Genomic DNA, 24,950 nt, shown 5'->3' on the forward strand with positions numbered 1-24,950 from the left:
CTGAGCAAATAAGTAACTATATTATGGATAGTGAGATCCAGATTTTTCTTTGTCAGAGAAGGGAGTTATCAATATGGAAAGGAGAGAGGATAGAATACACTGTGCTGTTGAATTGCAACTGGAAAAATCCATGTGAACTCAATGATTTTTAAGAGGGAAATACAGATTGTGTAGGTGTGTCTTGAATTTAGATACATGTATGTCTCGTATATGTACATACATACTTCTGTTTCCTAGCTGTGTTTCTGAGAGGGTGGAGAGGCAATGACACCCAGCTCACCTAGTTCCCAGATCTCCGTTTCTAAATGCCACTCTCCACTAAAAGAAACCAGGTCTCCTTGTAGAAATAGTTGATTCCAGAGCTGGAACAGGGAAAGCAGAAAATGAGCCCAGAATCTCTTGTACCAGAAGTAAGGAAGTCCTCACAAAAGCGGGGGCACGCTGAAGGAATACAAAGGCCCACTTTAACACAACTGGCCAAATATGGGGCAATCTGAGCACCAAATTAAACAATGAGAAAAGATTACAGACCACTGACTAAAATAAGCATTCCTGAGTCTACACAAATATAAATAAAGGAAAAGAGAACGTTCTTCCTTACACAGACAACTAGTAAAACAAAATAGTAACAATGTGAGGTGCGGCTATGTGAATTAGCTGACTGTAATAATCATTTCACAATGCATGCCTGTATCAAAGCATCACATTGTATACCTTACTTACATACAATTTTTGTTAATTATACCTCAATAAAACGGGGCGCGGGGGGTGGGAGAAGACAACTAGTAAATGCGGAAGAAATGACGGAATTAGACACCCATCACGTAGCAGCCATCCTGATGCTAACCAAGTCTGGCAAGAATCATCAATGGGTGCTGAAACTACTGAATGAAGAAAGTCCTTGGAGTGAGGAGTAGCAGGATAAACACACTGTCTCAAATAGCTCACCACAAGGCATTTCATTACAAAGGGGAAATACAGTAACTTTACAGTGAAGAAACCTGACCTTCTCAAATATGTAGCATCACCAGCAATGGGACAAATCATGATCACGTGTCTCCTGCTATGGTGTGCTGAGAACGCAGCATTATTTCTGCGCAATTCCTGCCCAGAAATGCAGAATTTAAATCCACTCACCAGGAAGCATTACACACAGCCAAAGGGAGGTAGAGTCTACAAAATAACTGGCCCATACTCCACAAAAATATCAATGTCCTGGAACACAAGGCCAGAGGCAGCGCTCCACATTCAGAGTGAAGAGACATGACGCTGGAACGCGGGGCGCAGCTGAGGTGTCCTTCCGCCATAAAAAAGACGCTGGAATGAGGCACGTGGCTGAGGTGTCCTTCCGCCATAAAGGGTGTCGCTGGGACAATCAGTGACATCTCAAGAGGAGCGCTACACTGATGCTGTTTCTCACTTTGATAACTGAAATGTGGTTATGTGGGAGAATGTCCTTGTGTTTAGGAAATAAACACCGAAGATACTTAGGAATAGGCAAAGGGGCATCAGCTCTGCAACTTTATCCCAAATGGCTGAGACAGAGGACAAAGCAATGTAGTAAAATACTAACACTCAGGAGACTGAGTGAAGGGCATATGAAAAGTTTTTGTACTACTCTCTCCATTTTTCTGTAAGTATAAATTATGTCATAATAACAGGTTAAATGAGAACAAACCCTACATCCAACATGCCTTCGGTATTTGAGCATCTCAAGGAGAGGTCAACACACAACAGGCTCCATTTAGCCATCCTCCTAGTTCATTTGCCTCTCCTCCCCATCGCTGGATCTTCCCTGCCTCTCTAAAGGCTCCAGAAGCTCCAGATCCATGGTCTTTTACTTGCAGAAACTTCAGCTCTCGTGTGTTCCTGTGCCCCCTCCCCATTGGAATCCTCAAATCAAGTTGGCTCAAAGAATAAAAGGTGTCCATGTAACCAAAGCCTTTCTCCCTAGAAGACATTCGGAGTATTAAATAGAAAAAGCAATCAAATCCATTACCGTAGTTATCACTATAACTACAACTCCCTAAATGTTGCCTCATTATATATCTAAGGTCTTCATTTTTTAAAGTTGGAAAATTAGTTCTCAAAAGACATCTCCACATTGGAAAAAAAACACGAAAATGAAGTCACCTGGGAAAGGGAGGATTCTCATGCCCACAGCAGGATGGTCGCACCGCAAACTGATGGGCCTCAGGGCTTCAGGGGAGGGAGCCAGGCAGGGAGAACCCAGAAGAAGGCAGCGGCCAGAGGAGGACGAACTAACCATGGCCCAGGCTGCAGTGGAGGAGCTCACTCCAGACCCAGGGCAAGGGGGTTGCGTCCACATCCTCCCCGGGAGGCACCCCGGCCAGGAAGGCCCTCGCAGACGCTCTGAGAAGTGAGAAGCCTCGGCTCTGCTCCCAGTAGGGCCCCTGGCCATGCTCTTGAGCAAATCCCACACCCCTTGCTCTCTCCATCTTTGTCTCTGAAAGGCAAGAGCCACTCCCCGGCTGCCAGGCCCAGGCCCTCCGTCCGTAACTAAGGATGCGCCGCCCCCAGGCCCGGCCATCTCCAACCAAGGAGGCGACACCCTCCAGGCCCGGCCATCTTAACCAAGATGGCGCCAGCCCCCAGGCCTGGGCCATCTCTAACAAAGGCGGCACCGCCCCCACCCCCAGGCCCTGCCTGCATCTCTAACCAAGGAAGCACCACCACCCCCAGGCCCAGGCGGCATCTCTAACCAGGAAGGCGCTGCCCTCAGGCCCTGCCCGCATCTCTAACCAAGGTGGCGCCACTCCCCAAGCCTGGGTCATCTCTAACAAAGGTGGCACCGCCCCCCCAGGCCCAGGCAGCATCTCTAACCAAGGAGGCGCTGCCCCCAGGCCTTGCCCGCATCTCTAACCAAGGTGGCACCACCCCCTAGGCCTCGGCCATCTCTAACAAAGGCAGCACCGCCCCCCAGGCCCTGACTGCGTCTCTAATCAAGGAGGCGCCACCCCCAGGCCCTGCCTGCCTCTCTAAACAAGGAGGTACCACCACCCCCAGGCCCAGGCGGCATCTCTAACCAAGGAGGCGCTGCCCCCAGGCCCTACCCGCATCTCTAACCAAGGAGGAGCCCATCCGCAGGCCCAAGTCCCATCTCTAACGAATAAGGTGCCACCCTCTAGACACCCAGGTCTTTAACCAAGGAGGCACCATCCCCAGGCCCTGCCTGCGTCTCTAACTAAGGAGGAGCTGCCCCCAAGCCCTGCCCGCATTTCTAACCAAACAGGCACCACCCTAAGGCCCTGGCCCCATCTCTAACCAAGGAGGTGCCACCCCCAGGCCCTGGCCCCATCTCTAACCAAGGAGGTGCCACCGCCAGGCGCGGACCATCTCTAAGCAAGGAGGCTCCCCAGACCCAGGCCGCATCTCTAGCCAACCAAGGCAGCCCCTGAGTCCCAGGCCACCCTGCAAAGCAGTACAGCGTTCCTGCCAGGAGTTGCTATAGGCGACCAGGAGTGGAGAACAGCCGAGACACCTCTGAAACCACCCAGGAATCAACAGGAAAGTTCAGAGTGGAAACTCGCATCGGGAGAATTACCTCGTAAACCTCCACCAAGGGCAGAGTAGGAGGGATGCTGGGCGCCTCCGCCGCTTCCCACGGAGCATGCAGAGGTGAGGCCACCGCCTCTCCATCTACACCCTTTCTTCTCAGACTCCTGCACTCTCCCAGGAAGCCCTACCATCCTAGTTATCCCTGGCTGGCACCACCCACCCGCGCTTCTCTCCAATACAGCCACAGCCCTGCCCAGGTGGGACAGGGCATCCTGCCGCCACAGAGGCTCTGATTGGCCCAGAATGAGCACATGACACCATCCACAGACCAACCAGCACTCCGAGGGGGTGTGGCCTGAGGCTGGTAGCCGCCCCCACCCAGCAGGGGTCCCTCCTAGGTCTCTGGGAGCCCGCTCCAGTCCCAGGAGGCTGCAGGCGAGAAGCGCCCAGCGTCTAGAAAAACTTGGACTCTACGTATCTCTCTCAGGCATATTAAAGGTTCTGAGCTGCCATCAGTCAGGAAACTAATCCAACAATTTTTTTTTTTTTTTGGAGACGAGTCTCGCTGTGTCGCCCAGGCTGGAGTGCAGTGGCGCCATTTCGGCTCACTGCAACCTCCGCCCACCAGGTTCAAGCGATCCTCCCACCTTAGCCTCCAGAGTAGCTGGGATTACAGGTGCCCACCGCCACATCTGGCTAATTGTTTTGGTTTGTTTTTGGTTTGGTTTGGTTTTGAGATGGAGTCTCACTCCGTTGGTCTCGCTCTGTCACCCAGGCTGGAGTGCAGTGGCACGATCTCGGCTTACTGCAACCTCCGCCTCCCTGGTTCAAGCAATTATCCGCCTCAGCCTCCTGAGTACCTGGGATTACGGGCACCCGCCACCATGCCCAGCTAATTTTTGTATTTTTAGTAGAGACAGGGTTTCACTATCTTGGCCAGGCTGGTATTGAACTCCTGACCTTGTGATCCGCCCGCCTCAGCCTCCCAAAGTGCTGGGATTACAGGTGTGAGCCACCGCGCCCACCTTTTTTTGTATTTTTAGTAGAGAAGGGGTTTCACCAGCCTGGCGCGGTGGCTCACGCCTATAATCCCAGCACTTTGGGAGGCCGAGGTGGGCGGATCACGAAATCAGGAGATCCAGACCATCCTGGCTAACACGGCGAAACCCCGTCTCTACTAAAAATACAAAAAATTAGCCGGGCGTGGTAGCGGGCGCCTGTAGTCCCAGCTACTCAGGAGGCTGAGGCAGGAGAATGGCGTGAACCCGGAAGGCGGAGCTTGCAGTGAGCCGAGATCGCGCCACTGCACTCCAGCCTGGGCGACAGAGCGAGACTCCATCTCAAAAAACTAAAAACTAAAAACTAAAAAAAAAAAAGAAAAAGAAGGGGTTTCACCATGTTGGCCAGGCTGATCTTAAATCCCTGGGCTCAAGTGATCCGCCTGCCTCGGCCTCCCAAAGCGCTGGGATTACAGGCGTGAGCCACCGCACCCAGCCAGTACAACAATATTTAACATGCTCAGTGCTGAGCAACAGACCCCTATGTCACATAGTCCCTCCTACCTGCTCAGACTGCACACACAGCAAACTCCAAAAGCCCTGGGATAAGGGAGCCACCAGGGCCGGTCAGGAACACGCAGAAGGAGGACCCAACTGGGGCCAGGTGCGGTGGCTCACGCCTGTAATCCCAGCACTTTGGGAGGCCGAGGTGGGTGGATTACCTGAGGTCAGGAGTTCGAGACCAGCCTGGCCAACATGGCAAAACCCCGTCTCTATTAAACATACAAAAAAAATTAGCTGTGCGTGGTGGCAGATGCCTGTAGTCCCAGCTACTCTGGAGGCTGAGGCAGAAGAATTGCTTGAACCCAGGAGGTGGAGCTGAGTGAGCTGAGATCACGCCACTTCACTCCAGCCTGGGTGAAGGAGCGAGACTCCATCTCAAAAAAAAAAAAAAAGAATGACCTAAATAATAGCAGAAGGAGAAGGAGGCAAGGGAAGGCAGAAGAGATAGAGAGCATGCCCAGAAGAGGCAGCGGGGGAACCTGACAGCGCCGGACAGCCAACTATTCAGACACTCCAGTAGTCTTGCTAAAGAATTCTGAACTAAAATAATATGACCAATAATAAAGAATGCCCTGATCAAATCTATGTTCCTTGCATCCAAGAATTCCAAACACCATGCCCCACACAAATCGCTCATGCCCCCTCTTCCCTGGGACATTCTGGTAGAAGCGTCAGACGGTCAGGTGAATCGTCAAAGCCACTGTGTCCCAAAGAGGAACTCTCCTCCCACTCAACAGAACCAGCCTCCCGGACACCCCCAGGGATCCAGGGCACAGCACCCTCCTGGCCACCCTCTCACCTTTGACTCCTCCCCTGGAAGGGCACCAAGAAGCAGTCACCAAATCCCATCAATGTTCCTGCCTACCTGATGTCTAGCCATCAGTTCCCATCACCAAAACTCTTTTCCCAATTCAAGCCCTTCTGTGGGCATTTCTTACATAGTCTTCCCATTAGAGAGCAAAGACCAAAGGAGATTAAAAAGGAAAAGTACAGAATGTTTTTCTTGATTACTTTGTCTTCTAAAAATTTAGAGCAGGAGAAAGAGAAGAAGAGGAGAGTGAGATCAACATTAAAAAGGCAGAATCAAAGCCTGGTGTTCCAGGGCACCTTGTATTTCTGCAACTGTATCTCTATATTCCCACATTTCCCTAAAGTCCAATGATCTTAATCATTGCCCCTCACCCCCTCCCCGCATTGCGTAGGGAACTGAGGATAAAGCCAGGGTCCACACCTGAGAGCAGGTCAAACCCACCACAAGGGCAAACAGCAAACTCTGGCAGGAAAGGGTTAATAACCCCAAAGTATGAAATGCTTCTATCAATCTCTAAGGAACAATAAGGCTCAAAGAGGGAAAGGAACAGAGACATGAAAGCAATGACAATAGAGGAAATAAAAGGAGCTAACCCACAGCCTGCAGGTATAAAGACCTGTGCTTTGGGACCACACTGACCTGGGTGAGTCTGGCTGCACTCCTAGTGAGGAGTGGACTCTGTGCCATGACTCTGCCCTGCTGAGCCCGTTTCCTAATCTGTATAATGGCAATAACAGCATCTGCCTCCCTGGGTCCTCATTAAATTAAATGAGGTAGGGTGGGAAGAGCTGACGGCCCAGGTGCTCAAGAAATGTGATGGAGTCCACTCAGTAGCCTGAAAAGAGCACAGTTTGGTTTGGGATTGGACAGCCCAAAGCTCAAATCCTGGCTGGACCACCTACCAGCATGTGACCAAACCTCTCTGTCCCTCCGTTTATTTGTCTGTAAATCAAAGATAATATCCCAACATGAGAGAACTGCAGTTACGCTGGCAGAGAACGATGGCTGGAGAGCACCTCACACAGCACTGGGACACGGTGGAAGCTATGATTGCAGATAACCTCTCTGGTGGTTAAGAACGTGAGTGCTAGAGCTTCATGCTGTCGGGATGGACAAGGCACCGGGGCAGGAGCCTCGGCTCAGGCAGAAGGCTGGCACGCACCCGTGGGGAGCTAAGTGGCATACAGGCAGTGGGGCCAAGGACAGCTGCAAGTCCTGTGCATTGTCAGGCAGTGATACTCCCCGACAGACTTTGAAAAGCTGCAAGCTGCCTCTGATGGAGTCTTAGGCACTGAGTTCAACGTGGGCTTGCTCAGCAAGAACTCTCAAGATCACCTCAAAAACACTTCCTGAGCACCAGCCAGTCCAGTGTGTACCTCACCTGATTTGGTTCTTCAGAGAATAAAATCCTCAGATGACATGTTTAGCTACAGTTTTGTAGAAATGGAAACTGAGGCTCAAAGAAGTCACAAGAACTATCACATTGTTGGTCTAAAATGCAAAGCTAGGTCTCCGGGACTCCAAAGCCAGTGCTATTTCCCAGAGCCCACATTTCTGAGGTGGGGGACCCCACAAACACCCAACTCAGCAAGAAGCAAGGCCAAGGAGAGGAGAGAAAGGCAGGCTAGATGGATGGGGAGTTGACCCTGCCAATGGAGGTAGAGACTCAGGACATGGGCAGGGCCTCACAAGCCAGAGGCTACTGGATGGCTCAGCCAGAGTGCTGGCACCTCCAGCAGGAGAGCAGCCGGCTGAGCACACTCCCCTCCCTCCACCCCAGTGCTCGGCAGCTCAGGCCTGACCCCTGTACAAAGAATGCACACGGACCTGGAAGTTCACTGTCGGACTCCGGGCTGTGATTACCCCACCTCAGAGGAGCTCTGGCCAGTCCGGGGGGAGGCAGAGGCTGCGTACCTTGTCGGGCTCCCTCATGCTTCCCTGCCTTGCCCCCTGCTGTATCCCCTTGGCCTGGTCACTCTGCTCAAACATCATCCTGTGGCTTTCCTGAGCCCCTCGCCCAGCCCAGGCAGAAGTGACTGGCAGTGACCATGTCACTGATCCCCCTACTCTACCTTGTACAAGCTTCTGGCACTGCCCAAGCGACCCTTGTACAAGTGAGTAAGTTCAAATCGAGAGACAGGGTTGTGTCGCCATCACCACAGTCAAGACACAGACCAGTCCCAAGTGCCCACACCAAGCTTCCGGTGCCTCTTCAGTCAGTGCCCTCACCCCCCACCCCCATGTAAATGTGTGTTTATGGTAAATACACATAAAATGTACCATCTTAACTATTTGTAGGTATACAGTTCAGTGGCATTAGATACATTCACATTGTTGTGCAACCATCTCGACCATCCATCACCAGAAATTTTTCATCTTACAAAACCGAAACTCTATGTCCATTAAACACTAACTCCGGATGCCTCCTCCCCCAGCTCCTGGCAACCACCATCCTACATTCTGTCTCTTTGAATTTAACTACTCTAGGAATCTCATGTAAGGGTAATCATTTGGTAATTGTCTTTTTGTGACTATCTTATTTCACTGTGCACAATGGCCTCAAGGTTCATCATGTGGTAGCCCGTGTCAGGTTTCCACCCTTTTTAAGGCTGAATAATACTTTATTCTATGTATACATTACATTTTGCTTAGCCTTTCATCCCTTAGTTTGTTCCCAAGTTTTAGCTATTATGAATAATGCTGTTATGAACATGGGTATACAAATATCTCTTTGAGACTCTGCTTTCAATTTTGGGAAATATATTCCAAGAAGCGAAGTTGCTAAATCACATGGTAATTCTATCTGTAATTTTTTGAGAGATTTCCATACTGTTTTCCACAGCAGCTGCACTGTTTTTACATTCCAACAAACAGTGAACAAAGGTTCTAATTTCTCCCATCCTCAAAGTATGTTGTCTTTTGTGTCTGGCTTCTTTAATACGACCTTGAGATTAGTCCAGGTTGTTGCCTGCATCACTTTTTCATCCTTTTTCATTGCCAAGTAGTATTCCTTTGTATGGATATACCACAATTTGTTTAGCTATTCACCAGCTAATGAGCATTTGGGCTGGTTCCAGTTTGGGGCTTGCTATGCTTTCAATGTTCCCTCCAGAAATACATGTTGAAACTTAATCCCCAATGTGGCACTGCTGAGAGGTGGGGCCTTTAAGATGTGATTGGACCATGATGGCTCTGCTCTCATGAATGAATTAAAGAGTTAATGGATTAATGGGTTATGATGGGAGTAGAACTGGTGGCTTTATAAGAAGAGGAAAAGAGTCCTGATCATAGTACATTAGCAAACTCGGCCCCTTGCCATTGATACCCTGTGCCACCTTGGGACTCTTCAAAAAGTACCCACCCAGCAAGAAGGCCCTCACCAGATGCAGCCCCTTGACCTTGGCCTTCTCAGCCTCCAGAACTATAAGAAATAAATTCCTTTCCTTATAAATTACCCAACTTCAGGTATTCTGTTATAAGCAACAGAAATCAGACTAAGACAGGGCTATTACAAATAAAGCTGCTATGAACATGTGCATACCTGTCTTCAGATAGACATAGGTTTCATTTTTCTTGGAATAGGATTGCTACCTTTTATGGTAAGTTGATATGGTCTGGCTGCATTTCCACCCAAATTTCATCTTAAATTGTAGCCCCCATAATTCCCACACGTTGTAGGAGGAACCCAATGGGAGATAAATTGAATCTTGGGGACTGTTTCCCCCATACTGTTCTGATGATAGTTAATAAGTCTCATGAGACCTGACAGTTTCATAAGAGGTTTCCCCTTTCACTTGGTTCTCATTCTCTGTTGCCTACCCCCAAGTAAAAAGTGCCTTTTGCCTTCTGCCATGATTGTAAGGCCTCCACAGCCATGTGGAACTGTGAGTCCACCAAATCTCTATTTCTTTTTTTTTTTTTCTTTTTTTTTTGAGACAGAGTCTCACGCTGTCGCCCAGGCTGGAGTACAGTGGCGCGATCTCGGCTCACTGCAAGCTCCGCCTTCCGGGTTCACACCATTCTCCTGCCTCAGCCTCCCGAGTAGCTGGGACTACAGGCACCCACCACCACGTCCAGCTAATTTCTTGTATTTTTAGTAGAGACGGGGTTTCACCATGTTAGCCAGGATGGTCTCAATCTCCTGACCTCGTGATCTGCCGGCCTCGGCCTCCCAAAGTGCTGGGATTATAGGCGTGAGCCACCGCACCCAGCCTAAACCTCTTTTTCTTTATAAATTACCCAGTCTCGGGTATGTCTTTCTCAGCAGCATGAAAGCAGACTAATATATAAGTGTACCTTCAACATTGTAAGAAGCCAGCAAACTATTTTCCAAAGTAGCTGTACCATTTTGCATTCCTACTAATGATGTATCAAAGTTCCAGCTGCTTCACATCCTTATCAGCACTTGGGATTGTCTTTTTAATTTTTACCATTCTAGTGGGTACGTAGTAGTGTCTCATTGTGATTTTAATTTGCATTTTCCTAGGAACTAGTGATATTAAGCATCTTTTCATACATTTATTGACCATTTTTATACATTCTTCTGTTAAAGTATCTTTCAAACCTTTTGCTCATTTTAATTAGTTTTGTCTGCCTTACAGACTACGAGTTCCTTCAGAACAGGTCTCAAGGACCCCTCAATGCCTAATTCCTGGGAGTACCATTCCCATAGAGGATATGTGAGTAGTGCTGTGTGGCCACCTAACGGCTCATGCCTTGGCCATTGCACGCAGCCCAGATAGGGCCTCACACACAGCAGGCACTTCAGAGATGTTCATGGCCACATCAGCAAGCACAGATGGCCAGTAGCACTAGGGAGAGATTGAGTGGGGCTGGACAGCCACAGGGACCAGCCTGAGCTTCTGTATCCTCACTTGGAAAGCAGAGATAATAAGCCCACCTTGCAGAGCTTTTGTGAAGAATAAACTAAAGAATGGGTGTGAAGCACCTGACTGAGCAGGTCTACAGAAATGATAGTTATGACCAGACCCTATCTTATTCCCCTGCAACTGCATGAGGGATTAGATCCAATCCCTCCTCATGCATTTAATTCTCCCAGATACTATTAAAAGTGATAAAATGTTCAGGGAAAGAAGGTGAAGACTGACAGAGGGAGAATGGAAGGGGAAGAGAGGAGAGGGAAAGAAGGAAAAAACAGATGGTGGAAAAGAGTAAAGTCCCCTGCCATATGCCAGGTATGTTCCCAATCCTCCTCTATGAAAACTCTACGAGCATGCTACCAAATAGGTCTGTGGGGACCATTTTCATGTAATATATAATATAGGAGGCAATGGTGACTCAAGATACTTGCCAAGGTCCCAGGGCTGTTAGACAGCAGGACCAGGACTTCACCCAGTTCTGCTTCCCCCCAGGGCCCCTTTTCCCTGCATTACCTGAGCCTGGTTCCCTGTGGGGCTCTCTCCCCGAGGAAGGGTCTTCCCAAGATGCTTCCAGGAACCTGGCTAGCCCTGAACAAGCCCCTTGCACCAACTCAGAAACAAAAACAGGCAGAATTCAAAAGATGCTTCTCTCTACCACCACAGGAGGAAATTGAAGATTACAGACCCAGGGCTGCACGTAGGAAACCTGCAGAGTTTTCATGTCCCTGAGCCTGTTATGTTCACCATTCCTCTTCCCCTAGAAACAAACATGGATGGAATGCCTGCAGGTCCCTAAGGTAAAAGCCAAGCCCTCACCAGTCCCAGGGGCTTCCTCTCTGAACTATTTCTCTAAATCTGTCCCTTCTCATCCCTACAGCCTGGACTGCACTAGGACAGCACCTAATGAAACTCTCCTGCCTGCACTTTTGTCCCTCCAAAAAGTGTTCTCTTGCTTATTCTTTATACTTCAAAAATTACTATAAAGCTGTAGTAATCAAGGCAGTGTGGTACTGATAAAGAATAAACAAATAGAGCAATGGAACAGACCAGACAGTTCAGGAGTGAACTGATGCATAATTTTCAAGAAAAGAGCCAAAGTAACTCAATGGAGGAAGAAAAGGTTCTTCTAACAAATGAGGCTAGAAAAACTGGATATCCACGTGCAAGAAAAAAACATTCTCCATCCCTACTTCATACCATACACAAACTTATTAGAGATAGACAGTAGACCTAACAAAAGCAAGAAATATAAACCTTTAAAAAAAAAAACAAAAAAACTTAGGAGATTTTCTTTGGACCTTAAAGTAGGAAAACATTTCTTAAGAGAAGATACAAAAAGCACTTCCGATAAATGTAAAAATAATGGCAAATAAAACTCCAATAAAATCACAAACTTCTGTTCATCAAAAGATAAAAGACAAATAGGTAAGCAGAAATTGGGAGAAAATATTCACAACATACACACACACACATATATACAACAAAAGACAAATATCCAGAATATATAAAGAACTCTTACATTCCAGCAACAAAAAGACAATAAACCCTATTTATGTATTTACTTACCTATTTATTTATTTTTAGAGAAACTGTTTCACTGATGCCCAGGCTGGAGTGCAATGGCATGTTCACAGCTCACTGCAGCCTTGAATTCCTGGGCTCAAGTGATCCTCCCACCTCAGCCTCCTGATTAGCTGGGACCAAAGGCATCCACCACCATGCCCAGCTGGTTTTTTTTTGTTTTTTTTTTTTTGTAGAGCTGGGATCTCACTATGTTGTATGTTGCCAAGGATAATCTTGAACTCCTGTCCTCAAGCAGTCCTCCCACCTCAGACTCCCAAAATGCTGAGATTGAAGGCATGAGCCACCACACTCAGCCCCCAATTTATTTTTTATTTTTAATTTTTTTTGAGACCAAGTCTCACTCTGTTGCCCAGGCTAGAGTTCAGTGGTGCAATTTCAGCTCACTGCAACCTCTACTCCCAGGTTCAAGCGATTCTCATGCCTCAGCCTCCTGAATAGCTGGGACTACAGGCATGAGCCACCAAGCCTGGCTAATTTTTTTTTTTTTTCTAAGTTTCAGTAGAGACAGGGTTTCACCATGTTGGCCAAGCTGGTCTTGAACTCCTGACCTCAGGTGATCCACCCGCCTTGGCCTCCCAAAGTGCTGAGATTACTGTCGTGAGCTACCACCCAGCCCCCAATTTATTAAAATAGCCCAAAGACTTGAATAGACACATCTCTAAAGATGACACAAATGGCCAATAAGCACAAGAAAAAATGCCCAACATCATTGGTCATCAGGGAAATGCAAATTAAGGGAGATACCACTGCATATCCTCTAGGGAAGGCAAAATGAAAGACTGACAACACCAAATGCTGGTGAGGACAGAGAGCAAGCAGAATTCTCTGACGTTGCTGATGGGAATGTAAAATGATACAAACTACTCTGGAAAGCTATTTGGAAGTTTCTTAAAAAGATAAACATAACTACTCTATAACCCAGAAATTCCACTCCTATGTACTTATTAACCCAGAAGAAATGAAAATAAATATCCACAAAAAGGCTTGTACGGGAACATTCACTGCAGCTTTATTCCCAATAACGAAAAACTGGAAATAGACTATGGCTGTATCCACGCAACAGAAAGAAACAAACTACTGAATCTCAGAAGCTTTATGTTGAATAAAGGAAACCAGACACAAAAGAATTATATGATGTTCTATAGAAGAAGAAACTCATCTATGGTGACATCAAGACTAGTGGTTGCGGCCGGGAGTGGTGGCTCACGCCTGTAACCCCCAGCCCTTTGGGAGACCGAGGTGGGCAAATCACTTGAGGTCAGGAGTTCCAGACCAGCCTGGCCAACATGGTGAAACCCCGTCTCCACTAAAAATACAGAAATTAACCAGGTGTGGTGGTATCCCCCTGTAATCCCAGCTACTCGGGAGGCTGAGGCAGGAGAATTGCTGGAACCTGGGAGGAGGAGGTTGCAGTGAGCCGAGATCGTGCCATTGCCCTCCATCCTGGGCAACAAGAGCAAGACTCCATCTCAAAAACAAACAAACAAAAAAAGACTAGTGGTTGCTTGGGGTGAGGAGCAGGGATGGGATAGTAAGGGGCAAGAGAAAACTTTCTGGGCTGATGAAAAAGTTCTGTATATTGTTAGGAGTGTGGGTTATGTGAGTGGTCAAACTCTACACTTAAGGTCTATGCATTTCAGCATGTATATAGTACGCCAAAAAAAAAAAAAAGAAAGAAAGAAAAAACCTGTCTCCTGGCAGCTGCCAGAGATCTTTCTTTCTGAAAGGCTAATTAGCCAGCCTTGTTATCTTCCTGTCCCTCAACATTTCCAAGATAAAGTCCTGACAGCTTCCCACTACTCAAAGGCCCTTCATCACAGACCTCCAGCACCCCATGCCCCTCCCCAAACTCAGTGCTCACCTGGTCACAAAGGGTGGGTCACACCTGTGTCACTGTACCAGCTGTCCTTTCTACAGGGCACCTCTGCTCACCCTACAAGACCCAGCTCAAAACATCTCCTCCTTCAGGAAGCCTTCCCACAATCCCTGGGGCTGGGGTAGATGCACCCCCTCTGAAACCCTCAATACTCAAGGCTTACTTCCATCACAGCACCTAGACCCATTCCTACAGGAATCCGTTTTCCACTGCCAGGACTGCATGAAATCCTCAAGAGGAAAGAACATGTCATATTGGACTTTGCATGCCTAGCAAACAGCACAAAGTTTGGCATAAACATCTAGGTAAACTGATGACCAGCCTAATAGTAAAAAAAAAATTAATAAGCAATAATAATAACCCTAAGGGGCAGAGAAATGGTAGCCACTCCTGAAGAAGAGGCCCACCAGCAGGGACACAAGGAGAATATCTAACACTAAGAAAGAAGCCAGTTAGAGCCCTACAAGAAGTCTTGGGGCTGAATTAAAATGCCCTCCAGCAATGCCAGGACACCCCAAGCTCTCCTGGTCCTTGGCTCCAGGTCCCATGGCTGAGCTGGTCCTCTTTTCCCCCACTGCCCACTATGGGATGCTGCCCCTTTCTTATTCAGACAACCCGCAGCTTCCACTGGCATCCTCTAAGGCCAGGTCCCTACCCCACCCATCCTGCCTTGATCAGACTGTGTTGAACACAAAGGCATCCGATTCCAGAGTTCCACCTTTTGCAGCTCCATGTATTACATGATTTAAAATAACTCAAAAGATTTGAAACCAGTATATTGAAAGGAATGACTGAACCATGTTCACTGTTGTGCTATTCACAATAGTCAAGTATGGAATCGGCCTCAGTGGCCAACAACACATGAATGATTTTTTTAATGTGGGACATATACACAACGGAATATTATTCAGCTGTAAAAAAGAAATGTTGTCGTTTGTGACAACATGGATGAAACTGGAGAACACTGTCCTAAGTAAAATATGCCAGCACAGAAGGACAAACACTGCATGTTTTCTCTTACATGTGAACTCTAAAACAATGGAGCTCAAAGAAGCAGAGAGTAGAATGGTGGGTACCAGAGCCTGAAGGTGTAGGAAGAAATGATGATCAAAGGCTACAAAGCCTCAATTAGACAAGAGGAATCGTTTTTTTCTTTGAGACATATTGCACAGCATGGTGAATACAGTAATAACGTACATTTCAAATTTGCTAAGAGTAAATTTTAAATGTTTACTTACCACAAAATGATAACTATTTGAGCTGATGGATATGTTAATTAGCTTGATTTAATTATTCCACATTATACTCATAAATCATAACATCACATTATACCCCGTAAAGAAACAAATATGTCGTTACAGTTTTTTTAATTTAAAAAAAGATTATGTTACCCAATTTTAAGTCCGTGTTTTTCTATAAATATGCCAAGCATTATCTTTATAAGTAAACTCAATCATCTATATATTTTGTGTTCCTTGAAAAAAAAGGAGGCAACTTTAAATCTGTAAGATGTTTAAAATGTCTATTTTGTTTTGCTCTGCTTTTTCTTTTCTCTTTTAAAAAAAAATTACTCGGCCAGGCACAGCGGCTCACGTCTGTAATACTGGCACTTTGGGAGGCTGAGGCAGGCGGATCACCTGAGGTCAGGAGTTGGAAACCAGCCTGACCAACATGGTGAAACCCCACCTCTACTAAAAGTACAAAATTAGCGAGGCGTGGTGGCGCATGCTTATAATCCCAGCTACTTGGGAGGCTGAGGCAGGAGAATCGCTTGAGCCCAGAAGGCAGAGGTTGCAGTGAGCCAAGATCACACCATTGTGCTCCAGACTGGGCAAAGAGCAAAACTCCGTGCCAATAAATTAATTTAATTTAATTTTTAAAAATGACTTATTTAAAAAAAATTACTCGGCTGGGCACAGTGACTCAAGCCTATAATCCTAGCATTTCAGGAGGCCGAGGCCAGTGGATCTCTTAGGCTGAGTTCAATACCAGCCTGGTCAACCTGGTGACACCCCATCTCTACAAAAAATACAAAAATTAGCCAGGTGTGGTGGTGCACCCCTGTAGTCCCAGCTATTCAGGAGGCTGATGTGGGAGGGTGGCCTGAGCCTGGGAGTCTCTGCCTTTCCATCCACAAATGCTTTCAAGAAGAGAGTGGATGACAATGTACTGAGCTGTACACTGGGAAGTCTGGTTCTGGGAAGGGAAGAGACAAACCCCATTTCCTGAATGCCATCAGCAGCCACCTGTGGCAGGACTGTGTCTCCTTTGCCGGTGAAGGGACTGGGGTCCCAAGGGTTCTGTGACTTCCCTTAGGTCAGGAATCTGGTGAGAGGCAGATCTCTGGAGCCAGAGCACGTGCTCTTTCTACCCTCCTAAATGTTCCAGCCCTTAAAGTTGATGCCTGCCCTTGAGAAATTGCAAATCAGTGAAACTTTAACAGGGTAAACAGCTGAGAAGAGAGGGAAAACTTAACTCTAGGCTAAATCTCTTTTACGTAATTAAATCAGCCCATCTTGGTGCAGAGTTTTTCAGAGGCTGTATGCTTGAAACTATCTACAAAGGGAAATGCAATTAAGGAGACTTTTTAATATATCTGATTCTTGACTGCCCTTGCTCTAGGCAAGAGCTTAATTCTACTTAACAATAGCTATCTTGCAAAAGTTATGTAAATTGCAAGGTATGGGGAGAAAAGAAACAGGAATCCTTTCACCGGAGGCAAATGAGAAGCCCACTGAGAAGGGAGCACTGCGGTAAGACGGCTCCAATTCACACAATGACCATCTCAGCTCATTTGCCACCTACAGCTGTGCCCTGTAGACCACATGCAACTCCACCTCCTTATCATTCATTGTACTCCCTTTCCTAAATTAACCAAAACAGGAAACTCTTTTCAGAAATTAGCTGACCATGAGTTGACAGTAACACATTTTAAAATATGATCTTTTCTCATTTGGTACAGCTGGAAATTGAAGGAAACTTCAACATATGTCCAGGGTTCTTTTTTAAAACTCTTGGGTAAATTCCAGAAGTGGAGAAGTGGGCAACTCATTCTCTCTATATAAGCAACAACGTGGGAGGAGGAAGGCACCAATCGAAAAGATATTTCACGTTTATCAAAATGGAGTCACTCATGTCAAACTCTAACAAAATGGAGCCAGAGGATAGGAAGGAAGGGCCCTCATGCAAGTATGCCTATGACAGGAACTATGCCAGGAATTCCTTAGAGCCTGTTACTTGCACAGGACACTTGCCTGGTGCACCTGTCTCCAATGGACTAATGCCAGCTCCTGCAATAAACCTCTGAAACCAATGGTCTTTGTTTCAAAACCGCTTAGGTGGACTTCCCTTTTGGGTCTTTAAAAGTTTCCATTTGCCCCAACTTCTTTGGACGTACCTATGATCCAGCATAGCGCATGTATCTAAATTGCAATCCCCTATTATTCCCAAATAAACTACAGTTTCAGGATCCCATATCCAAAATGCTTGGGACCAGAAGTTTTAGAATTCCAGATGTTTTTGGATTTTGGAATATTTGCATATACATAGTGAGATAACCTGAGGATGGGACCCAAGTCTAAACATGAAATTTATTTATGTTTGATGTGCACCTTATACACACAGTCTGAAGGTAATTTTACAATATTTTTAATTTTGATCATGAAACAAAGTGTACAATGAACCATCAGAAAGCAAAGGTGTCACTATCTCAGCCACACATATGGGCAATCTGTGGTTGTCTGGCATCGCCATCATTCCCGACTCTGAATTTCTATGCTACCAATAAGACAATCACTTTCTTACATTTATTTACACATAAGTCCTTACCAGTAAAAAATATGACACACCATTAATACAGTGAAAAACAAGGTGTTCAAGGTACCTAAGCGGCACAGCAGCATCACCAGAACACATGCATCAGCTGCTAAACAACAGAACAATAAACAACGGCTGGCTTTAAGTCTGCTGTTCAGCCTGCATTTCTTTCTGAGTGTTAACAGCATCGTCTTTACAGTTGTGCAACTGTTGTTTTGTTTTGTTTTTTGAGAAAAATAGAGATGGGGTTTCACTACACTGCCCAGGCTGGTCTTGAACTCCTGGACTCAAGGGACCCTCCCGCCTCAGACTCCCAGAGTGCTGGGATTACAGGCGTGAGCTACTGCGCCCGGCTATGGAACTGCATTTCTGCTGAGAACCTTCACGAGGTCAGATAGAAAATTTTCCACTGTGGCCTCATGTCAGTGCTCAAAGTTTCAGACTTTGGAGCATTTCCGATTTCGGATTTTTGGATTAGGGATGCTCAACCTGTATTTGGAGAGCAAGTCTCTCCGGTGCTCATTTTAGGCTAACCTAAGACAGCACACCTGAATCAGCTGGGCACCACAGCTAATCAGCGCACCTGTGGTCACAGCTACTTGGCAGGCTGAGGCGGGAGGTTTACCTGAGGGCGGGAGGCAGAGGTTGCAGTGACCCGAGATTGCACCATTGCACCCCGGCCTGAGTGATAGTGCGGGACTCTGTCCCAAAAAATTAAAAAAATTAAATTAAAAAAAAGCACGCCTGATATAGTTCGGGTCTCCTGACCCAATATTCGGCTCTGGGCCCACTCTGTCACTCCAGGACACATTCTCCCACATCTAGCACCGCAGCAGGTGGAGGCAGGACTACGACTGGGACTGCTCTTTACCCCTGCCTGGCGTGCAGAGGGGATCCTTGCAAAGCTGTTATTTGAACTAAAGTCAGGAAAGGTGTCCCTGGGGGTTAGAGGTAGGACACGCTACTTCCTTCAGCATGGGGACACACACTACAGATGTTTCAGTAGATGAACTGGTAGGCTCGGAAGATAAAGCTGGTGAGAGGCAGCTGTGCGGGGCATCTCCAAAAGGTCACTTGGACTCCAGCAAAAAAAGCCAGACTGATGGGCAGGCGTGATCAGTTAGCGCGTTCGTTCTTTCATTCACTAAGTATATAGTGAACACTTACATGAGCCAAGCCCTATTCTAAGAAGATGGAGGTACAAGTCAGGCGAGCACGCAGGAGTTTGGATTTTAGCCCAAGTTGGAGGAAGTTAATTTTTAAAGCCCCAGCTCTGTCGTTTTTAAACTGTGTAAAGTTGACCTCTCTGAACTTCTGTTCCTCATAATAAATGACCTACAAATTAGAGTTCTCAAGAGAGCTGAGCAGCAAAACGTGTTAAGTCAGTGCCCAAATGTGGAAGCTTGTGGTAATTACAGGTGAAGGACCCCAAGCTCAAGGTTAAATGACTTGCACCGGGTGTCAAGTGGAAGATCTGTCACTCTATTAGGTCCAGCCGGCGGCCGGGAAGCCTGCAGGAGGTACTCATTTCGCCAAGGAGGAATCCGAGGCCAGGCAAGAAGGAAGCCCCGCCAAGGTCCAGTCAAAGAGCTGGCATCGCCGGGATTCGAACCTCGCGCCCACTGCGTTCCGTCGCTGGCCCGCGCCCCAACGCCACCCATTGCCGTGGAAACGGCCGGGCGCATGCTCTCCCACTCGCTCCCGCCTTGCTTTTTTTTTTTTTTTGCGGCGGGATACCCCAGCGACTGAACGTGAGCCGCAGAACGCAACTACGTTCGCTCTCCTCCCCAGACCCGGATCCCTCCGCGGCCGGCGGCCGGCGGCCGGCGGCCGGCGCACTGCTTCCCGACTCGACGCTCGAAACGGCTTTCCGCGCGCCGCGCCGCGCCCCACCCCCACCCCGTCTCACCCCAACCCCCAGCCCGGCTCACCTGCCGCCCGCGTCTCCATGGCAACGCCCCACCGCGGAGGAAAAAAAAGCCTCGGGCTCTTCCGGGCCCCCTCCCGTGCCGACCGAGGGGGCGGGGCGCCCTGCTGACGCTTCGCTTTTTATTTTTATTTTTTTAAGAAAAGAGCCGGCGAGGTTATGGCGAATCTGCGGCATCCAACATGGCGGATGGAGTCTTCGCCCTCCTCCCCACGGGGCGCAGACGCCTGCGTAGCGGACGTCCGCTTCGGGTGACCCTCCCCCGGCGCCGAGCGCGGCCCGGCAGGGCCGAGCTAACGCGCATGCTCGCAGTCGGAGGCCGTGCTTTTTATCCCACTTCACGGATTCCGCTGCGCCGCGTTTTGAGCCACGCCCAGGGAGGGGCCCTCGGGAGGTCCGGAGCGCGGATCTCGGGGTCAGGAGTCTGGCGGTTGTGCCAGGCCTCTGCTAGCGCGACCCTAGACCCGCGGCATGTGGGGCCGCCGAGCTGGGCGTGCAAGGAGAGTTCTGGGTGCGCTTCGTGTCCCAGCTCTACCTCTCACTACCTAACTTGGGGCAGCGAATTAACTTTTCTTGCTCTCAGTTTACTGATGTGTCCATCGGGGTGCTCCCAACCTGCATCCCGCTCAAAGCTGCGGCGTTTCCCGAAGCGTGGGGTGCTTTCCTTTGGGCCACCCGGCTGGGTTTTAGGGGCTACAGAGCACTGAGCGGCCTACGATCACACGTGACAAGGCGACTTCCTCCTCTCTCGTCTCTTTTTGTCCCACAACAAGTCTGCACTGGATGTGCGCGCCTCCAACACCCGCTCATTCATTTCTCTGCTTGTGGCACAGCCTTCGGCAGGCAGCTGAGTCTGGTGGAAATTTAATGACTTTGTTTTTGGTTTTGATGTTAAGGTGTTTAGCTCCAACACTGTAGTCCTCGGCTCAAATGATATCTTCCAGCCCCTAACCCTCACCCCCCGAAACCCATCTAAAGTAACCCTCCAAGACACTTCATATTTTCTACGTAGCATCCATTCCTATCTGTCATTATCTCCCTCCCTTACCTCTGTCAATGGTCACCCCGTTAGCCTCAGAAACAAACTGAGCCTGACAGTTATTTATTTCATGAGTAATGAGTTGATGTGGTCCATGTTCTAAGGTCATTTTCTGTTCATGACAAATAACGTTTTTCACTTACAGTAGTCATATAAAGTTTTTAAATTGTTCGTTTACATTTTCAAAAATCAGTCAACTTAAAATGGTGTACATGCTGCAAAGACATGCCCCCCCCCCCCCAAAAAAAAAAAGTGTAAAAGCAGACTTCAGGAGACTGAAGTTTGGGAAACTGATTTGTGTTCATGGTTCCCCTGAAATGCTAGTCTTTGCCTGTTCTTCTTTTCCTGGAATAACCCTCTTTGGTTGCTGCTCAACATGAAATTCTCGGACAGCCCTGAAGTTCACACTTCATGTTCCCACAGCTCTGGTCTCACTGGCCTAGCTCCATCCCCCACTTCTCTGTTTGCACAGCGTTCATCCTCACTAGACTGAGCTTCCTGAGCAGCCCTTATAGGTCCTTTTCATCTTGTTTTCTCAGCGCCTGTTGCATAGTCATATTACTGAATGAACACTTCGTTCTGGGGTCACTTATTTTTTAGGAGGAAAACTCCCTTGGGCATTGAGCTTCAGGATGACTCATCTGATTTCTCAGGAGACTGCCCGCCTGCTCCTTAACCCTGTTCTTGGGAAATACGGAACCATGAAAAGACCCTAAAGTTGTCCAGTCTGTTAAATATATGCTCACAGATATAGCCTCCCCCTTCTTCATTTCATCCTCGCAATCTGGAAGGTTAAGTTGGGCAATATGATTATTGTCCTTTTCCAGATGAGAAAATGGAATGTTCAGAGTGGTCAAATGGCTTTCTGAGATTACACAGCAAAATAGTGAAGAGCCAGGTGTGGATCTCGCCTCTCCATGCCCAGTGTTCCTCTCCCCACCACATCTAAAATGTACCCAAACTGCCCCCCAGGCCTCCAGGAGAGCCTCCAAGAGAGCCAGTTCCAAGACAGCCACAGAGTCGCTTCACAGCCACCACGTCCTCCACCACAAGATACATGGCTAGGTGGGGCCCATCAGAATCTTTATTTGGAAATGAACTGCTCAAAAAGCTGCATTGATGAGCGTTTCCTTTTAGAACTATAAATATTTACAATAATCATTATTTTGCTGTGAATCGATTTCTGTCAGGAAATTAGAGTTGTTCTGGGTTGCTGACAGTATTGGTTTTGTGCCGGTTTGCCTTTCTCACAGCAGCGTTTAAATGTTGTTTATTGATTAGCAGATGGATTGCTCCTAGATGTTGTGACCAAACGAATTTTGGAAATGAAACAATTTAAAATTTGTCTCAAAACCCAATTACCTCAGACTGCTGAAGACAAATTAAAAGAAGAAATTGTGGACTGTGGATGATGGTTCTGGGTTAATTATTTGGAAAGCTATGATTTTCTCCACTATTCCCATGGCATTTTCTTCCTCCTACCCATTCATCATTCAGAGAAGAGTTACTGAGCACCTATTATTACTGGAAACTGTCCTGGCCATAGGCAGATGGAAATGACTAAGAGATGGCCCCTTTCTGTGGGGGAATCCAGGTTCGTAAATGGAGAGATGAGTCCACAGCTGGCTCTTCCACGGCCTTACTATGTGATTTGCACATTTTCAATCAGCAAACATCTCTATTCTTTCTATTTGCCAGTAATATTTCAGAATGCCTTCAATTAATGAAGACACATTTGTGGAATTGGATGTAAATCACTCGAAAGTATATAATTAATGGCAAGCTGCCTCGGTGATGGTTCCTAGAAGAGAGCGGCTTCCCAGCTGACCACTGGTGGCAGTTGGCCTCTTGAAGCTAGTATGTGAATTAATTTGTGTCAATAAATTTATCGACATGAAATGGTATTTAGTTATATAAGAAATATAATTTGCACAACTGAATATATTCGTGTCAATAATTTTATCATTATATCCAATATCTTTATGAGAAATAGACATTTACATGAAAACAATAATTTAGGAACATAATTTCACAGGATGCTTTCTTGAAAGAAGGTTTTGATAAAGGATACATACAGGCGACCTCAAAATAATGGATCTTGGCTGGGCATGGTGGCTCATGCCTGTAATCCTAACACTATGGGAGGCCAAGGCTGGAGGATTGCTTGAGCCCAGGAGCTCAAGGCTGCAATAAGCTGTGATCATGCCACTGCACTCCTCCAACCTGGGCAGCAACAAAGCAAGACCCTGTCCCTAAAATTTATTTATATATATATATATATGTATATATGCACACACACACACATATATATATATATGCATATGTATGCACACACACATATATATCTATAAAATGATAAAATCAGAGGTGGGAATAATCAGTTTGGGTTAACAGTTAAAAATCTAAATAGGCACATTGTAGAAAATAATCCACTTAAAAATCATATAAAAGAGAAGGATGTAGTAATGCTAGAACTATATGAGCAATCTCACTATGAACATAATTACAAGATTAGGAAACAGCATCTTTTCCACCTGTCTTTCCAGTGGCCATGGAGTGCCATCACATCCCCGGTCTGCCTGTGCACACCTGTGTGTACTCTCAGTACCCAAGTATTAATCTCCGGAGTGGTTTTCATTAGCAGTAGCCAGGGCCCCTTCAAAGAAGCTAATTCCATGTGTGGGAGTAAGGGAACATCAGAATGGCCTGAAACATATTGCTATTCTCAGAAAACCAGGTTCCTTCCAAAAATGCTGGGTTAGTGCTGAAAGGACAAAGGAAGAGGCAGTGACAATTTGCATATCACAACAACTGTAGATCTATGGTTGTTGATCTACAAGTTGAGCCATGAGGCTTTACTGATAAAAAGTTAACATTGTATATGCAAAAATAGACATATAACTGTGTAATTACAAAACTAGTTACAATTCAAAGAAAGGGTCAAAATAGGATATTTTAGTAAAGAGACAGGTTTGGTAGATATGGGGTCCTATTTCTTACTTGAAGTTCTGTATGTCTGTTTATGAAATGGTATATTTGTGTAAGTTTCGAGGGGCAGATAAGTTTACTAAGAGTAAGTCAAAGACTTCCAGAAGACTAGGAACCATGCCAAAACCAGGAAGGGCAGGTCAGGACCAGTGGTCTCATAAATAACCAGCTAAAAGGGGGGTTCAATAATTTATGTTGGAAGTTAATGGATTAGCCAGATGTCCTAAGGGAGTAGCTGATAGATTAAACTGCTATATGGCCCTGCTAATGTTAATGAAATGCTAATGATGCATAATGAAGGTCATTGTAAACTGTGGCAGAACATCATGGACCCAAGACTTCATGCACATGGGAGTGAAGATTGCAAGAACTTGCTGTAAGTCCTCTTGACTTAATAGTTGAAAATGGTCTGAGGGAGCCCCCACCAGCAAATGCCTGCTGCCACCAAGAACCCACCAGTCCAGGCCCAAGGCTGCCACTCAGTGCACCTGGGAAGGAGATCATCTTTCTCTCTGTGGTCCAATAAGGGCAGTCCTGAAAAAGTATAAAAATATGTTTTGTAGAGATGACAAAGAAATTGGTCAAGTCAATAACAACTCTTTTTTTTTTTTTTTTTTTTTTTTTTTTTTTTTTTGAGACGGAGTCTCACTCTGTCGCCCAGGCTGGAGTGCAGTTGTGCCATCTCGGCTCACTGCAAGCTCTGCCTCCTGGGTTCATGCCATTCTCCTGCTCAGCCTTCCGAGTAGCTGGGACTACAGGCGCCCACCACCACACCCGGCTAATTTTTTTTTTGTATTTTTAGTAGAGACGGGGTTTCACCATGTTAGCCAGGATGGTCTCCATCTCCTGACCTCGTGATCCGCCTCTGTCACCCAGGCCAGAGTGCAGTGGTGAGATCTCAACCCACCGCAACCTCCGCCTCCAGGATTCAGGCCTCCTGCCTCAGAC

The 24,950-nt window shown here is 47.0% G+C and overlaps 1 protein-coding gene across 11 annotated transcripts in view, besides 2 other annotated features; it reads right to left on the minus strand.

Moving 5' to 3' along the window:
- Nucleotides 1–24,950, minus strand: part of ZFAT (zinc finger and AT-hook domain containing) — a 354,552-nt gene that overhangs the window by 215,078 nt on the left and 114,524 nt on the right. For 5 of the 11 annotated variants that reach the window (NR_110323.2, XR_007060750.1, NM_001174157.2 and 2 more), the window contains exon 1: nucleotides 19,980–20,166. Coding sequence is in view for 3 of the 11 variants with exons in the window: in NM_001174157.2 (NP_001167628.1) it covers nucleotides 19,980–19,998 (19 nt within the window). In the remaining 8 variants the exon portion in view is untranslated. Of the gene's footprint in view, nucleotides 1–3,565; nucleotides 3,691–19,979; nucleotides 24,537–24,950 lie in introns of those variants that run through there. The other 6 variants (NM_001174158.2, NM_001167583.3, NM_001029939.4 and 3 more) reach the window with 2 other exon arrangements.
- Nucleotides 16,563–17,246: an enhancer, noted in NCBI's record as "NANOG hESC enhancer chr8:135721671-135722354 (GRCh37/hg19 assembly coordinates)". NCBI's record gives its function as "activates a minimal SCP1, AML or CMV promoter by ChIP-STARR-seq in primed H9 embryonic stem cells {active_cell/tissue: H9 hESC(primed)}" and the evidence as "EXISTENCE:reporter gene assay evidence [ECO:0000049][PMID:30033119]".
- Nucleotides 19,998–20,177: an enhancer, noted in NCBI's record as "active region_28020". NCBI's record gives its function as "activates an Ori minimal core promoter by ATAC-STARR-seq in GM12878 lymphoblastoid cells {active_cell/tissue: GM12878}" and the evidence as "EXISTENCE:reporter gene assay evidence [ECO:0000049][PMID:35858748]".

This window comes from Homo sapiens, chromosome 8 (genome assembly GCF_000001405.40).
Source record: "Homo sapiens chromosome 8, GRCh38.p14 Primary Assembly".
Lineage (NCBI taxonomy): Eukaryota > Metazoa > Chordata > Mammalia > Primates > Hominidae > Homo > Homo sapiens.